The 18,349-nt window shown below is 38.1% G+C and overlaps 1 long non-coding RNA gene across 3 annotated transcripts in view, besides 3 other annotated features; it reads right to left on the bottom strand.

The window, feature by feature from the left end:
- LOC105376076 (uncharacterized) overlaps nt 1-18,349 on the bottom strand; it is a 38,952-nt gene that overhangs the window by 18,779 nt on the left and 1,824 nt on the right. The window lies entirely within an intron of this gene.
- Nucleotides 15,815-16,669: an enhancer, noted in NCBI's record as "OCT4-NANOG-H3K27ac hESC enhancer chr9:72378515-72379369 (GRCh37/hg19 assembly coordinates)". NCBI's record gives its function as "activates a minimal SCP1, AML or CMV promoter by ChIP-STARR-seq in primed H9 embryonic stem cells {active_cell/tissue: H9 hESC(primed)}" and the evidence as "EXISTENCE:reporter gene assay evidence [ECO:0000049][PMID:30033119]".
- Nucleotides 16,670-17,525: an enhancer, noted in NCBI's record as "OCT4-NANOG-H3K27ac hESC enhancer chr9:72377659-72378514 (GRCh37/hg19 assembly coordinates)". NCBI's record gives its function as "activates a minimal SCP1, AML or CMV promoter by ChIP-STARR-seq in naive and primed H9 embryonic stem cells {active_cell/tissue: H9 hESC(naive and primed)}" and the evidence as "EXISTENCE:reporter gene assay evidence [ECO:0000049][PMID:30033119]".
- Nucleotides 17,901-18,195: a silencer, noted in NCBI's record as "tiled region #8756; HepG2 Repressive non-DNase unmatched - State 23:Low, and K562 Repressive non-DNase unmatched - State 23:Low". NCBI's record gives its function as "represses a minimal TATA promoter and a strong SV40 promoter by Sharpr-MPRA in HepG2 and K562 cells {active_cell/tissue: HepG2 | K562}" and the evidence as "EXISTENCE:reporter gene assay evidence [ECO:0000049][PMID:27701403]".

The following is an 18,349-nucleotide window of genomic DNA, read 5'->3' as shown; positions in this document are numbered from 1 at the left end:
TATATCAAGTACACTGTCAAACCACAGTGGAATAATATTCTATGCAAATTGAATAACACATCTGGACACAGAAGTATTTGTTGCATATATATTTAGGATTGTGATATTTTCTGTTAGACTGATTGTTTTATCATTGTATAATGTCCCTCGTTGTGTTTTTTAAGTGTTGTTGCTTTAAAGTCTGCTTTGTCTAACATAGAAATAGCTACTCCTGCTTGGTTTGGGTTTCCATTTGCATGGAATATCCTTTGGAGTTCCAAACTCCAAGAGGAACCCTCAAAACTATACAAATACATGGAAATTAAATAATCTGCTCCTGAATGATATTTGGATCAACAATAAAATCAAGACTTCTGGGACACGGCAAAAGCTGTGCTAAGGGAAAAGTTCATAGCATTAAATGCCTACATCAAAAAGTCTGAAAGAGCATAAATAGACAACCTAATGTCACACTTCCAGGAACTAGAGAAACAAGAATGAACCAAACTGAAACCCAGCAGAAGAAAAGAAATAACAAAGATCAAAGCAGAACTAAAGAAAATTGAAACAAAAATATACAAAAGATAAATGAAACAAAAGCTGGTTCTTTGAAAAGATAAACAAAATTGAGAGACCATTTGCAAGATTAACCAAGAAAATGAGACCAAATAAGCTCAATTAGAAACAAGACAGGAAATATTACAACCGATACCACAGAAATACAAAAGATCATTCAAGTCTACTATGAACACCTTTATGTGCACAAACTAGAAAATCTAGAGGACATTAATAAATTCTTGAAAATATAAAACCCTCCTAGATTAAATCAGGAAGAAATAGAAACTCTGAACAGACAAATAATAAATAGTGACATTAGAACAGTTATTTAAAAATTGCCAACAAAAAAAGTCCAGGACCAGATGGTTTCACAGCCTAATTCTGTCAGTCAAAGAAGAATTAGTACCAATCTTAAAGAAACTATTTCAAAAGACAGAGAAAGAAGGAATCTTCCCTAAATCATTCTATGAAGTCAGCATCAGCCTAATACCAAAACTAGGAAAGGATATAAAAAAAGAAAATTACAGAGATGAGCGTGAACAACATGGAGAAACCCCATCTCTACTAAACATACAAAATTAGCCAGGCATGGTGGCGCATGCCTGTAATCCCAGCTACTCCGGAGGCTAAGGCAGAGAATGGCTTGAACCCGGGAAGTGGAGGTTGCCGTGAGCCAAGATTGCGCCATTGCACTCCAGCCTGGGCAACAAGAGCGAAACTCCATCTCAAAAAAAAAAAAAAAAAAGAAAAAAAGAAAAGAAAAAGAAAACTACAGACTAATATCCCTGATGAACCTAGATGCAAAAATCCTCAACAAAATACTAGCTAACCAAATCCAAAAGCATGTCAAAAAAATAATACACCATTTTCAAGTGGGTTTCATACCAGGGATACAGGGATGGTTTAACACACGAAAGTCAACACATGTAATATATCACATAAACAGAATTAAAAACAAAAATCATATGATCATCTCAATAAATTCAGAAAAAGCATTTGATATAATCTAGCATCCCTTTATGATTAAAACCCTCAGCAAAGTTGGCATAGAAGGGACACATAAAAACCATCTGTGAAAAACCCACAGCCAACATTATACTGAACAGGGAAAATTTGAAAGCATTCCCCTCGAGAAATGGAACATGACAAGGATGCCCACTTTCACCACTTCTATTCAACATAGTACTGGAAGTCCTAGCCAGAGCAATCAGACAAGAGAAAGAAATAAAGGGCATTCAAATTGGTAAAGGGGAAGTCACACTGTTGCTGTTCACTGATGATATGATTGTATGCCTAGAAAACCCTAAAGACTCGTCCAAAAAGCTTCTAGATCTAATAAATTAATTCAGTAAAGGTTCGGGATACAAAGTTGATATACATAAATCAGTAGCTATATGCCAACAATGACCAAGCTTAGAATCAAATCAAGAACTCAACACCTTTTACAATAGTTGGAAAAAAAAAACACGTAGGAATATACCAAACCAAGGAGGTGCAAGATCTCTACAAGAAAAATTGCAAAATACTGCTGAAAGAAATCATAGATGACACAAACTATTGTAAACACATTCCATGCTCATGGATGGGATCAATATTGTGAGAATCAATATTGTGAAAATGACCAACTGCCAAAAGCAATCTACAGATTCAATGTAATTCCATCAAAATACCACCATTCTTCACAGAACTAGAAAAAGCAATCCTAAAATTCACATGAAACCAAAAAAGAATCTGCACAGCCAAAAGCAAGACTAAGCAAAAGGAACAAATCTGGAGGCATCACATTACCCAACTTCAAACTATACTACAAGCCTATGGTTACCAAAGCAGCATGGTACTGGTATAAAAATAGGCATGTAGACCAATGGAACAGAATAGAGAACTCAGGAATAAAGCCAAATACTTACAGCCAACAGCAAAGAAAAACATAAAGTGGGAAAAGGATACCCTATTCAACAAATAGTGCTGGAATAATTGGCAAGCCAGATGCAGAGAATGAAGCTGGATCCTCATCTCTTACCTTATACAAAAATCAACTCAAGATGTATCAAAAAGTTAAATCTAAGACCTGAAACCACAAAAATTCTGGAAGATGATATCAGAAAAATTATTCTAGACATTGGCTTAGGGAAAGAGTTCATGACCAAGAATCCAAAAGCAAATGCAACAAAAACAAAGATAAATAAATGGGACCTAACTAACCCAAAAAGCTTCTGCACAGCAAAATAATAATAATAATAATAATCATCATCATCATCATCATCACAGTAAACATAAATCCACAGAATGGGAGAAAATATTTGCAAACTATTCATTCAACAAAAGACTAATTCTAGAATCTACAAGGAACACAAACAAAACAGCAAGAAAAAAAAATCCCATCAAAAAAGTAGGCAAATGACATGAATAGACAACTCTCAAAAGAAGTTAGACAAATGGCCAACAAACAAGAAAAAATGCTAAACACACTAATTATCAGGGAAATGTAAACCAAAAACACAGTGAGATGCCACCTTACTCCTGCAAGAATCGCCATAATTTAAAAATTAAAAAAAAAAAAACAGATATTGCATGAATGTTGTAAAAAGTGAACACTTCCACACTGCTGGTGGGAATATAAATTAGTACAACCACTATGGAAAACAGTATGGAGATTCCTTAAATAACCAAAAGTAGAACTACCATTTGATCCAGCAATCCTACTACTGGGTATCTACCCAGAGGAAAATAAGTCATTATATGAAAAAGACGCTTGCACATGCATGTTTACAGCAGCACAATTCACAATTGTAAAAATATGGAACCAGCCTAAATGCCCATCAACCAATGAGTAAATAAAGAAAATATCACATATATATGTGTATGTATATATATGTATATATATGTGTATATATGTATATATATGTGTGTATATGTATATATGTGTATATATGTATATATGTGTGTATATGTATGTATATACATATATATATACACACACACACACACCATGGAATACTACTCAACCATAAAAAGGAATGACATAATGGCATTCGCAGCAACCTGGATGGAGTTGGAGGCCATTATTCTAAGTGAAGTAACTCAGGAATGGAAAATTAAACATTGTGTGTTCTCACTTATAAGTGGGAGCTAAGCTATGAGGATGCAAAGGCATAAGAATGATACAATGGACATTGGGGACTTGGGGGAAAGGATTGAAGGGGGGTGAGGGATAAAAGACAACATATTGGGTGCAGTGTCCACTGCTCAGGTGATGGGTGCACCAAAATCTCAGAAATCACCACTAAAGAACCTTTCCATGCAACCACCTGTCCACCCAAAACTATTGAAATAAAAATTTTTTCAAATGAAAAGTAGCCAAAAAGAAGAAACTAGAAAAAGTAGTGAAAACTAAACCCACAGTAAATAAAAGGAAGGGAATAGTAAAGATCGAACAGAAATAAATGAAAACAGCAGCAAAATAGAGAGCCTCTTATTCATTCTGCATTGCTAGGGCTGCATTCATGCTATAACAGTAGGTGTTAGTAATTGGAACAGAGTATATGACTCACAAAGTCTAAAATATGTCCTATCTAGCCCTTTAATAAAAGGTTTGGAAGAATTCTGCTTTCTGCTCCAACATGTAAAAGCTTCAAAGTCTTCACTCTCATCCTTACAATAAGACAAAAGGTGAAACTGAAAATCAATTACTTTTCTTAGACCTGTTAAAAAATTAAGGTCACAGAACAAACTGCCACGCAGAAATCTAGAGAGAAGAAAATACAGAGAATCACAGCTGATAACAGCTTACCTGGAGCAGAAGACATTGAATCCATAAACTGGTATGAACATTTAAGTGGTAATCTTGACCAACTGCTAGAGCCTGAATGTGGACTTGCTCTAAACTAAGAAAATCCTTAGGGGCCCAGTCTTAGGGGTCTCCCACACTTTTATGTATTTTACTTCCAGCAACCACACCAGGCTTTCATGGAGATGACCCCAGAACAACACCTTCACATTTTAGTCAAGGGGAGGGGCATGTTGAAATATACCCAAAGCAATCTTCATAGTAAGAACCAATGCTCCAAATGAAATGATGTTACCAGGTCTTTTGACCAAAGAAAGGGCAATTACCCGATCCCAGCCCCTTAGCTTCCCTATCTCACCTAAGAGAAGAAATGTAAAAGGCTAAGAAGCACTACTGAAGGTCAAAGCCCAAGGACTCAGGCCCACTAAATGACTTAAGAGTTAATCACAAAATTATAGATTCCTTTCCCATAGGACCTTACCACCACACCTGCAAGGCTCCAGTTTATACCAGTAGATTTCAACTAAAAAAGTGACAGGCCACAGATTCTATCTAAGAAGTTCTTAGGAAAACCTAAAGATAACAAGGAAGAAAGATACAAGTACACCTGAGGAAACTGAATCCACTGGCGCTTACGGTTTCAGCAAACATTAAACACAGCCCAGCTTCTGGCCACATTACCATTATAACTTTTCTATTATCCCATACATTATACGAAGTTTTTAGCAAAAGATTACAAGGCAAGCTAAAGGGCAAGAAAAAGCAGTCTGAAGAGACAAAGCAAGAACCTTCATCAAAGCTACGTCCAGGGGAAGGGGAGAGTGGAGGAGAAGAATAATGAAAATATTCTGGCTGGGTGCAGTGGCTTAAGCCTGTAATTCCAGAACTTTGGGAGGCTGAGGCGGGTGAATCACCTGAGGTCAGGAGTTCGAGAACAGCCTGGCCAACATGGTGAAACCCCGTCTCTACTAAAAATACAAAAATTAGCCAGGCGTGTTGGCAGGCGCCTGTAGTCCCAGCTACTCGGGAGGCTGAGGCAAGAAGAATTGCTCAAACTCGGGAGGCAGAGGTTGCAGTGAGCCAAAATCGCCCTGCTGCACCCTAGCCTGGGTGACAGACGGTGAATCTGTCTCAGGAAAAAAAAAGAAAAAGAAAAAAAGAAAACAAAATATTCTGGAATTAGTGGTAATGGTTGTATAATCTTGTTAATACACTAAAAACCACTAAATTACATGCTTCAAAGGGTGAATTTTATGTTTTGGGACTATCTCAATTTAAAAAATAATTTTAAAAAGACTTACATAATTATTTATAACTTTTTACAAAATGAAGGTTTTCCTATATTCTCCACGCTCACACAATTGGTGAAAAAATAACATCGAATTAGAGAATAAAATATATCTACGGTAATTGTGAAAATTGATGACAAATTTTAAGAATTATGATTCTCATTACATTAATTCTTTGCTACTCATAACATGAACCATAAAAAAGTAAATACATTGTCTCTTTTTTTCATTCAATACATATATACTTAATATCTGCCTCATATAAGGAACTGTACCATGTTGTTGGGTTACAAAAATGAATCTGACAATGACTTCAACTTAGAAAAAGATATTAGAGATTTACAAAAATAACTGTAAAACAAGGTCATATATGAAAAGTGCCAAACAAAGGCTATAAAAGTACAGTGGAGTCCAAGATTATAGGAAAGCATTTCTTTTTTCTTTTTTTTTTTTCATTGTTATACTTTTTAAGTTCTGGAATATATGTGCAGAACGTGCAGGTTTGTTACATAGGTATACATGTGCCATGGTGGATTGCTGCACCGATGAACCTATCATCTGCATTAGGTATTTCTCCTTATGCTATCCCTCTCCTTACCCTCCACACCACGACAGGCCCTGGTGTGTGATGTTCACCTCCCTGTGCCCATATGTTCTCATTGTTCAACTCTCAATTATGAATGAGAATCAATGGTGTTTGGTTTTTTGTTCCTGTGTTAGTTTGCTTAGAATAATGGTTTCCAGCTTCATCCATGTCCCTGCAAAGGACATGAACACATTTTTTTTTATGGCTGCATAGTATTCCATGGTGTGTATGTGCCATATTTTCTTTATCCATGGTGTATATGTGCTACATTTTCTTTATCCAGTCTATTGTTGATGGGCATTAGGGTTGGTTCCAAGTCTTTGCTATTGTGAATAGTGCTGAAATAAACATATGTGTGCATGTATCTTTATAGTAGAATGATTGATAAACCTTTGGGTACATACCCAGTAATGGGATTGTTGGGTCTATTTCTGGTTCTAGATCCTTGAGGAATCACCACACTGTCTTCCATAATGGTTGAACTAATTTACACTCCCACCAATAGTGTAAAAGCATTCCTATTTCTAGGAGAGCATTTCGAACTGAGGTGATTAATGAAGACTTCATGGGAAAGGTGGCAATGGAATTGGGTCTTTGTTTGTTCAGCTGACTCAGCACTACATTTGCAGTGCTTACTATATTCAGGAACTGTACCAGGTACCAGGGAAACAACAATAAAGATGAAATGGATTATCTCATTTTGTTATGTGATAAAACCCAGGAGTGTAGAAGCATATATATGTGTGTGTGTGTGTGTGTGTGCATTTATATATTTTTGTATAACTAAAACAATGTATAAGTTAATAAGAACACTCTTGAAGAATGAGCGGATTTCAACAAAGAAGCAAAAATGCTTTCAATGGCTCTAACTCTTCAGAATTTTTTATTTTTTATTTTTTATTTTTTTGAGACAGAGTCTTGCTCTGTCGCCCAGGCTGGAGTGCAGTGGTGCAATCTTGGCTCACTGCAACCTCTGCCTCCCGGGTTCAAGCGATTCTCCTGCCTGAGCCTCCCAAGTAGCTGGGATTACAAACACATGCCACCACAGCCAGCTAATTTTTGTATTTTTAGTAGAGATGTGGTTTCACAATGTTGGCCAGGCTGGTCTTGAACTCCTGACCTAGTGATCCGCCCACCTTGGCACTGCCAAAATATGGCCTCAAGGTTCCTCATGATTAGGCCTCTGACTAAATTCCAAGTGACTTCCTCTACTATTTCTTTATTACATTTATACATGTAGGTTATTCTACCCTTCCCTATTGTTTCCCATCCTTTCCTTTCATCCATCCATCCATTTAAGTACTCAGAGCCCACTATATTGCAATGCAACATACACAGTGGTACATAAAATAAACAGGAGAAATACAGTTCCAGCCCTTGTGAAATTTACACTCTGTAGATGGATAAAGATATGGAACTAATTAGACAACTGTTTAAATGCATTTGATATATAAAGGAGTCTATGAGAATATAATGAGGGCTTTTACTCCTTTATTACTTTGAGGGATTCAACTTTGTGTGCAGGAATTAGCCGGAAGTACCCTAGATATCTTGCTAGACACATGCATGACAGAGGATGGAAGATAAACCCTTAAAACATTCAAGGGCCTGCCACCTTAGTGAAGTTTCTAGGAGTCCATTAGTTGAGGCATGGCACATTTCTACCAAGGTGAAGGGCAAGTTGCTTCATCTTGCACACTCTACCACTGAGAAGGAGACACAAGGGCCACTTTGGATTCAAATTGTGACATATACCCTAGTTGAATGTTCTACTTTGAGTCACTTACTGAGTAACCCATAGATTTGAATGGATTCCAGAGCAACAGAAGCTTCTGTGGCAGCTCTAAGCTTCTACGCAAGCTGATCTTGGGCCACATGACTCAGCAGATTGAATGGTGCTGAAAGAGCACATTGAAATGTTCTAACAGTAGCAAATAAAAAATGCCATGGCAATACCCCTTGGGTTTTGGGGGAAAAGCCAACCCTTTTCGTTGATAAGCATTACACTTTTGAGAAACCGTTCTGGGGTTGCTATTGGGCCCCCAGGACTGAATATCTGACTAAGAAACACTAACTAGTCATGTGACATGAGCTTTCCATAGAGAGCTACGGTGTTACCTGACTCAGGACCACAATGCTGTAAATGAGATATACAAGATCAGGCTCAAACAGTTCCCAAAGACACAAGTTGCAAGAGTAAGTGACCCAGACACCTTCAGTATCAGTGGGTTCTGCATTCCTGGATTCAACTCAATGATCATCAAAAATATTCAGAAAAAATAAAAACATAATACAGATTAAAAGAATCAATATAGTATCACAACCATTTACATAGCATTTACATCTTATTAGGTATTTGAAGTAATCTAGAGATGATTTAAAGTATAGGCTGGGTGCGGTGGCTCACACCTATAATCCCAGCACTTGGGAAGCCAAGGAAGGTGGATCATCTGAGGTCAGGAGTTTGAGACCAGCTTGGCCAACATGGTGAAACCCCGTCTCTACTAAAAATACAAAAAATTAGCTGGAAGTAGTGGCACGTGCCTGTAATCCCAGCTACTTGGGAGGCTGAGGCAGGAGAATCGCTTGGATCCGGGAGGTGGAGGTTGTAGTGAGCCGATATTGCACCATTGCACTCCAGCCTGGGTAACAAGAGCGAAACTCCATCTCAAAAAAACCAAAAAACAAAATGAAAGCAAACTATATAGGAAGATGTGCATAGGATATATACAAAAATTGTGCCATTTTATATAAGCGACATGAGCATGTACAGATTTTGGTATCCACAGGGATCCTGGAAACAATCCTCCACAGATACTGAGGAATGACTGTACTTACTCCTATTGCATTGATATCTCTCCCTCGATCTACATATATGGCCTCATGGAGAATTCTCTATGACATGTGACTGAGGAAGAGAAAATTTGGGCCTCGTTTTGTTTCCAAACAGCTCTCCACAATATGTTGGTACTACCCAAAAGTGGATGGCTTTAGCATGACAGCCTCACTCAGAAATAGTCTTTAAAAACTGAGAAGGGAGATTCTCCAAGTAGGCAGAACTTCAGACTGTATATCTAGCAGTCCACTTAGACTAAAAAGAGACATGGCAGAGGAGTAGGTCAACATTGATTCATGGACAGTGGCTAACAGTTTGCTTAGATAGTCAGGGACTCTGGTATATTTATGTGACAGTTGATACTGAATGTCAACTTGATTGGATTGAAGGATACAAAGTATTGATCCCCTGGGTGTGTCTGTGAGGATGTTGCCAAAGGAGATTAATATTTGAGTCTGTGGGCTGGGAAAGGCAGACCCACCCTTAATCTGGTGGGCACAACCTAATCAGCTGCCAGCGAATATAAAGCAGGCAGGAAAAAAACTCAAAGGACAAGATGGGCCTAGCCTCCTAGTCTACATCTTTCTCCTGTGCTGGGTGCTTCTTGCCCTTGAACATCGGACTCCAAATTCTTCAGTTTTGGGACTCAGACTGGCTTCCTTTCTCCTCAGCTTCAGACAGCCTATTATGGGAGCTTGCGATCATGTAAGTTAATACTTAATAAACTCCTGTCTCTCTCAGTATATATATATATTAATAGGATATATTATATCCTATAGGATATAATATATCCTATTAGTTCTCTCCCTCTAAGAGAACCCTGACTAATACAATGTATGAACTAATTATACAGGAATTAGCAAAATTTGGTAATTGATGATAAAGAAGTTTGGGGAAGAGGTATGAGGAGAGACCTCTCTGAATAGGCATAGATTCTGGTGTTATTTGTGTTCCATATGAATGCTCAAAAAAGGCCATCCATTGCAGAAAATGTTCAATAATCAGGACAAAGTGTTCTATTCGACGGCTGATACTCAGCCTCTTTCCCTAGCCATGACAATGTTTGCTTTATGGGCTCATGATGATAGTGGCCATAGAGATTATACCTATGCGCAATAATGCAGGTTTTATTCCCCCTCCAACCCCCATGCAAAGCTGATCTTGTTAGAGTCATTGCTAGGTGCCCAAGCTTTCAACAACAGGGACCAAAAGTAACCGACAAGCTACCTGATGGCAGGTTGTTTACAATGGATTCTTCCATCATCAGGACAGCAATTTGACGTTTTCCTGCCCCAGTTTCTTCATCACTATCCATAGATATACTGAATGCCTTGTTTACAGTCATGATACCTGATATGGTTTGGATATGTGTGCCCTTTAAATCTCATGTTGAAATGTCATTTCCTACCTCATTAATATATACATATAACTACTATGTATTCAGAAAAAATAAAAATAAAAACAGTTTTTTTAAAAAAGAAATGTGGTCTCCAGTGTTGGCGGTGGAGCCTGGTGGGAGTTGTTTGGATCATGGGAGACAGATCCCTCATGAATGGTTTGGTGCTATCCCCTTCATTAGGGAACTGTAGCTCTGAGTTCACATGAGATCTGGTTGTTTAGAAGTGTGTGGAACCTCCCCCTTTTCTCTCTTACTCCCACTCTCACCACGTAAGACACCTGCTCCATTTTTGCCTTCTCCATGATCGTAAGCTCCCTGGGGCCTCCCCAGACACCAAGCAGATGCCAGCATCATGCTTCCTGTAAAGCCTGTGGAATCATGAGTGAATTAAACCTCTTTCCTTTATAAATTACCCAGCCTCAGGTATTCCTTTTCAGCAATGCAGGAACAGCCTAATACAGTACCCCAATTAACACATGATAGGTTTTCTTTTCAAGACAGGCAAAGCACCACCTTCTATCCCGTATTCTCTTCTGCAATGTGACCTTCACACTATCCCATGGGACTTCCTCCATCCCCTTGATTCTGGGGAAGTACTGTGACCGCTTTGACCATTTTGATATTGCAAAATTGATGCTGTACCCTTAACCAACCTGAGCTCTCATTTCCTGCCTCTTGGAAGTTAGCTGCTGTGTATAATTTCCTGAGCTCACTATGCACTGAAAAGCCCTGGAGCATGAGATGCCAGTTGAAAAGAGAGAACAAGAAGCACCACGGCACCAGACATGTGAGTAAAGAAACAATCAGACATCTAGGCCAGTCAAGGCTTTTGATGACTTCAGCCCCAGCCATTATCTTTCTGTAACTGCATGACACTAACCAACAACTGCCCAGTTGGTCCCAGTCAATCCACAGAACTGCCAGAAATAATAATATTGTTTTAAGCCACTAAGCTTGAGGTTTATTTGTTACACAACAATACATAACTAGCATACCTAATTTTTGACCAATGAACTCATTTTAAAACAAAAGGAGCACAGGAATAGGGTTCATACCCATGGGATTCACTGACCATAACATACCCCACCATTCTAAAGCAGTTTACTTAATTAGGCAGCAGAATGACCTACTGAAGTCTCAAATACAGTGCTAGATTGGGCAGCACAATGTGGGTTGTGGTGCTGTCTTACAAGATCGATATGCAATCTGAAGCACCATCCAGTGCATTATGTCATATTTTCCATACCTAGAATACATGTATCCAGGGACCAAGGGCCAGTGGCTTCTCTTACCATTACCCCTAATGAACCTCACAATTTTTTTCACTCACCAAAGCAAAATGAGTGAACTGTACTGAATTGTCTGTTGGCAACTTGGGATTGTCACCCAGGCATTATCATTACCCCTTTCTAAATTCTCCTTCATAACATAGCAGAGTTTGCTAGTAAGAACACAAGATTTGGAAAGCAGAAAGAAGAGACCATTATTCTCCAGGGACAGTTGCAAGGAGAAGCATGTACAGAGAGCCAGCATGAGGTCTGACACCCTTCCAGATGAGTTTCTTGAGAAACACTTGAGTAGGTGCCATAAAAAGGCTGGTAGGAGCTTCCTAGAGGTTCTTGAGACTTGAAGTAGCTTCTGGACAAGGTATAGTCCCCTGTTTTATTGCTGAAGACTGAGATATTTGATGACGGTTCCCCTGACTTGTTACCTCACCCTTCCAACAGGTATGTAAGCCTCAAATGACTTATATTAAACCCTTCTTACTTAGAATACAGAGTATGACTTGTTTTCCTGACAGGACCTTAACTATATACTTCATAATACATAAGTTTTTATTCTGCAAACATATTTAACATTCAGCCCAGAAAACTGTTCAGTGTAGTACAATAAAGAACACAGAGTATACAGAATGGAAAAAAATTGGAACTAGGCAGTCACTTTCATTGTTGTCATTTGGGTAACCACCATCCTGAATCTGAAATCACTTTACAAACGCTGTAAGGTTGGTAAAAGTTATTAATTTGGCCTTCTTTCAATTCCTCAGACATGCTGTTAGCTCTTCTGTTCTTAGGCCTTCACCCTAATGTTTCATCGCCAGTGAGGTTCTTTCCCTGCTTTTCACAGGGCTGGTTTCTTCTCATCTTTTAGGTTTCAGCTTAAACATCACCACCCAGAGCAGGCTTCTCTGACTACAGCATCCAAAGCTATGTCCTTACCCTGACACTTTTATCATCTACCATGGTACCCTGCTTTCTCCTTTTGTGCCATTTATTACAATTTTTCATTAGATATTTGTCTGTTTACTTGAATATTGTTTATCTCTTCTATCAGACTGTAAGTCCCACAGAAGGCATGAACCATTTCTGTTTCTCTCACCATTGAATACCCAGCAGCTAGCACAATGTCTAATACACAGTATCACTCATTAAAATTTATGGAATAAATCAAATTGTTTGGCGTCTTGTCCTCTCAGGGATAGTATTTAGCCTCTTCCTCCTACAAACCAAAGAGATTATCTTTTGTACTGTCCTTTTTGCACACTGATGACTCAGAGGACTTACCATAGAAATTAAAGTGCTTAAAGTCAGAAGCCATCATTTGGAGACTTATTATTTGACATTCCTTCCTAAAATTCACACTATCAGTCTCTATAAATATTATTCCGCAAATTAAGAGCATAAATCAAATAACAAAAAAAGCTCATCATTTCCTATGGGTAATGTTGGCCTGGTGTTAATAATTTTGATGTGTCTCAGACATAGCTTAAAACATAGAAACAGAAAGAAACTGAGATATAAGGTATATTAGGAAATTTCTGAATGGAAAAATTAACTTTAGAAGGGAGATGAAAGGAGGTATAGCCTTGTCTTACTTTTAGATAGTTACTGAAGAGGTTTCAGACTGAACCTCTACTGTGGCCAAAATGAAGTTCCTACTCCCTTTCTAAATTTCCAGTTATGTTTGAACCTGTCTATGGCTTTCACCTCTGTCACAGTTACACTGAAAAATAAGCAGAAAAAAACTTAAGGATGTACTTATATTTGTATACTTTAAAAATTTAGTCATCCATTAAAAGGCTTTATTACTAAGAAAATTCTTATGACAATCTGACATCTTCAGTACTGTACATGAGAAACTAATTGCATGATTGAGAGATACCCATCTCCTTAGCTGTTTCTATATGCAGATCCTGGAATGGCGCTTTCTCTCTAGACATTTTCTTCTGTTCTTTTCTAAAGATTACATAATGAGTCTCCTGGGCCTCTGTGGTAGGAAGGATGAACAGGGCAAAGGAAAAGGATGATATTTTGGAACTATCAAATAAAATAAAACATCACTTACTCAGCAACGAAAACCATTTATGTAACTAATATCCTTATTCCTGTATTTTCATGGGTTCTAATATCAGCATAAACTGGTCATTTAAAGTCATCTTCATTATTATCAACTTGATAACATTTACACACTTTGTCAGCACAGAAAACGTTCATGCTTTAACTAGATTAATTATAATTGCAGTATACCAATTCTCTTTAAAAGTGTTAAACAAGTTTCATATTGAAATTATCTAGCTTAGCCTTAGTTTACTATTATGTTTTAATATGGATTTACTAGTAATGACACTTTTATTCATAGAAATAAATAACTTGAACAGTGCTTCTCAGTTTAAAGATGCTATCACATGTATTTTCTCATTTTTATCCCAACAACTGGAATAATGAAGAGCTAGAAATATCAACTAATAACAATAGATGCACTACCATGCATGGGTGGTTTTGTATATTTTTAAACAGTTCTTGAATATATAGTAAGTCATACTTGGGGAAATAAACCAACACACCAAGGCAAAGAGTATACAAATATCTTAAGTTTAATGTACATATCTTTTAAAGTATATTTATTAAGTTCTATTCCTTTTCTTGAAATAATCTTTAATACTTTTTTTTTTTTTTTTTTTTGAGAGACTGAGTCTCACTCTGTCACCCAGGCTGGAGTGCAGTGGCACGGTAAGATCTCGGCTCACTGCAAGCTCCGCCTCACCGGTTCACGCCATTCTCCTGCCTCAGTCTCCCGAGTAGCTGGGACTACAAGCGTCTGCCACCATGCCCGGCTAATTTTTTGTATTTTTAGCAGAATGTTGGCCAGGATGGTCTTGATCTTCTCACCTCGTGATCTGCCCGCCTCGGACTCCCAAAGCGCTGGGACTACAGGCGTGAGCCACCGCGCCCAGCCTAATAAAAATTTTAAAGATGGGCATCATTCCTGTTGATTTTTCTTAAGAATTCATAAAACACATCAATATTGTGGCTTCTTGGTTAATATTTTGTTACCCTTCTACTATTTCTTTGCTAGTAAGTTTTTAAATTTTAGATTTTAAGATAGTGGATAGGGCTGAGGTCTGGCAAAATTTAAGATATAGGTAACCACAATGACAATATAATAAGCCATTCAAAATTGGGCATTAATTTTTTTGAGATGAGGTCTCACTATGTTGCTCTGGCTGATCTTCACACTCCTGGATTCAAGCAATCCTCTCAGCCTCCAGAGTAGCTAGGACTACAGAAGTGTGCCTCCCCATTTGGCTACTTAATTTTTGTAATGGAGGAAATAAGACTGTTCTTTCCGTAATAATAGCTAGCACATGGTAGAACATATTTAGTACTATTTGAATTCTATATTGTAAAATGTTATCAGAAAATGAGATTCAAATAAAAATAAATGGAGTAATAAACAACATGTCAGTAATGTAAGCGGCATAATACAAAGCAAAGATGGAAATGGATGACAAGGCATCTTCATTTCTTCACAAAAGTCACTAAAACTACCTCGCTGTCCTCGTTCCCTCCAGGGTCCTCAAGACATACATTAGGTTTTTCATTGTAAAACTTTGGGACATCCAGAAACGTATAAAGAATATGTATTTATTGGTCTTAATTATCTCAATTCTATCATACAGAGATAATCATTGTTAACATTTTAGTTTGTATCCCCCCATCTATTTTATATATATGTACAATTATATCTATATTACATACAATTTGTATGGTATATATGAAATTAGGATTATATTGTATTGTATTTGTATTTGGTACTTGTTTTGGTCATTACATATCCACATTTTCCTCTATCATCAATTAGTCTTCTAAAATAAGAAACGTGTGGTTTTTGGGAGTGGGTAGGAAGATTGTCAAAATATATTCACAACCATGTAAATGATAATAATAGACATGGTCACTTAAAAAAATCAATATATCTGTAAGAAAATTAGTATGCACATAATATATTTGGCTAATTAACAAACAAATATATCAGCTCCTTATTAATATATAATTTAAAAAACTTTTCTTAGGCCAGGTGCAGTGGCTCAAGCCTGTAATCCCAGCACTTTGGGAGGCCGAGGTGGGTGGTCAGGAGTTGAGGTCAGGAATTCGAGACCAGCCTGGCCAACATGGTGAAACCCAGTCTCTACTAAAAATAGAAAAATTAGCCAGGTGTGGTGGCGTGTGTCTGTAATACCAGCTACTCAGGAGGCTGACACAGGAGAATCGCTTGAACCTGTACCACTGCACTGCAGCCTGCACGACAGAGTGAGAATCCGTCTCAAAAAAAAAAAAATTCTTAAATTACAAATGTTACTTTGCTCTTTACATTACATAGTCAAATTGTCCTATGAAAATACCTCTAACACTTTGGTATATATTCCTCTAGTTATAATGTGATTTTCATGTGGGGAAAAGCAAGAGAGATCAGATTGTTACTGTGTCTGTGTAGAAAGAAGTAGACATAGGAGACTCCATTTTGTTATGTACTAGGAGAAATTCTTCTGCCTTGAGATCCTGTTAATCTATAACCTTACCCCCAACCCCGTGCTCTCTGAAACATGTGCTGTGTCAACTCAGAGTTGAATGGATTAAGGGCGGTGCAAGATGTGCTTTGTTAAACAGATGCTTGAAGGCAGCATGCTCGTTAAGAGTCATCACCACTCCCTAATCTCAAGTACCCAGGGACACAAAAACTGCGGAAGTCCGCAGGGACCTCTGCCTAGGAAAGCCAGGTATTGTCCAAGGTTTCTCCCCATGTGATAGTCTGAAATATGGCCTCGTGGGAAGGGAAAGACCTGACCGTCCCCCAGCCCGACACCCGTAAAGGGTCTGTGCTGAGGAGGATTAGTAAAAGAGGAAGGAATGCCTCTTGCAGTTGAGACAAGAGGAAGGCATCTGTCTCCTGCCTGTCCCTGGGCAATGGAATGTCTCGGTATAAAACCCGATTGTATGCTGCATCTACTGAGATAGGGAAAAACTGCCTTAGGGCTGGAGGTGGGACCTGCGGGCAGCAATACTGCTTTGTAAAGCATTGAGATGTTTATGTGTATGCATATCTAAAAGCACAGCACTTAATCCTTTACATTGTCTATGATGCAAAGACCTTTGTTCACGTGTTTGTCTGCTGACCCTCTCCCCACAATTGTCTTGTGACCCTGACACATCCCCCTCTTTGAGAAACACCCACAGATGATCAATAAATACTAAGGGAACTCAGAGGCTGGCGGGATCCTCCATATGCTGAACGCTGGTTCCCCGGGTCCCCTTATTTCTTTCTCTATACTTTGTCTCTGTGTCTTTTTCTTTTCCAAATCTCTCGTCCCACCTTACGAGAAACACCCACAAGTGTGTAGGGGCAACCCACCCCTACATTTTCAAATACTAAATAGCATCTTACCATATAAATTTATAATTTAATCAATCCCCTCTCATTGGGCATTTAAGTTATTTACTGTATTTTATTATCAATAAATGAACATAAATCTTGTAGTCCTTCGACAAAATCACGCTGAATTTATTATGCCCTATTCTTGTATACATATATATCATTATTGAGGATTTATGAATTTCAAATCTTAAATCCTTTGGACTTCTGTTTTCTTATCTGTAAAATTAGAGAGTTGGCTCAGAGTTCTAATTATGCTCCAATTCTAAAAAAAAAAACAAGTTCTAAACATAGTAGATTCTTAATAATTGGGGTAAAACAATTTGTGAATTCTTAGAGGAAACAAGATACAATGCATGCCTTTCAAATGACTATAAAGAGGTTGCATGTGGAGAGGGCATACACAGAATCATACAGAGGAATTCTGTTTCTGAAATAGCTGTTTTACATCAAAATTTGGGGACAAAGTTTTCTTTTTTCCCTGTTAAATAAAGCCTTTCGGGGAAAATCATTATTTCTGAGTGTGCTGCTTTGATCTCTGCCTCCAGAAATTGGGATTTATTTCCCACTGCCATTAGGATGCAAGGTCCTGATTAAGAAAACTTACTAAGTTTAAGAATTTTAATTTAAGAACTGGTCTTACATTCTTAATCAGGATATTTAAAGTTGTCTTTTGCCTTGAAATCTAAACACACATTCCACTCTTTTCACTGCTTCACTCCAGAACTTGTTATCGGTTAAATTTTGATTGATTTTACTAACTCTTTTTTTTTCTTTCTTTTTTTTTTTTTTTTTTTTTTGAGATGGCATTTCGCTTTTGTTGCCCAGGCTGGAGTGCAGGGCACAGTCTTGGCTTACTGCAACGTGCGTCTCCCGGGTTCAAGCGATTCTCCTGCCTCAGCCTCCCAAGTAGCTGGAGCTACAGGCATGCACCACGACGCCCAGCTAATTTTGTATTTTAAGTAGAGACGGGGTTTCACCCTGTTGGCCAGGCTGGTCTCAAACTCCTGATCTCAGGTATCCACCCGCCTCGGCCTCCCAAAGTGCTGGGATTACAGGCGTGAGACACCGTGCCCGGCCGACTTTACTAATTCTTAATCCTGTCCCACCTTGCTGGCTACAATTTTGTGAAACTTCTATCTCACTTCTTTTTTTTTTTTTTTAGATGGAGTCTTGCTCTGTCGCCAGGCTGGAGGGCAGTGGC

Source organism: Homo sapiens, chromosome 9 (assembly GCF_000001405.40).
Source record: "Homo sapiens chromosome 9, GRCh38.p14 Primary Assembly".
NCBI lineage: Eukaryota > Metazoa > Chordata > Mammalia > Primates > Hominidae > Homo > Homo sapiens.
This window is presented reverse-complemented; position numbering and strand designations above follow the sequence as displayed.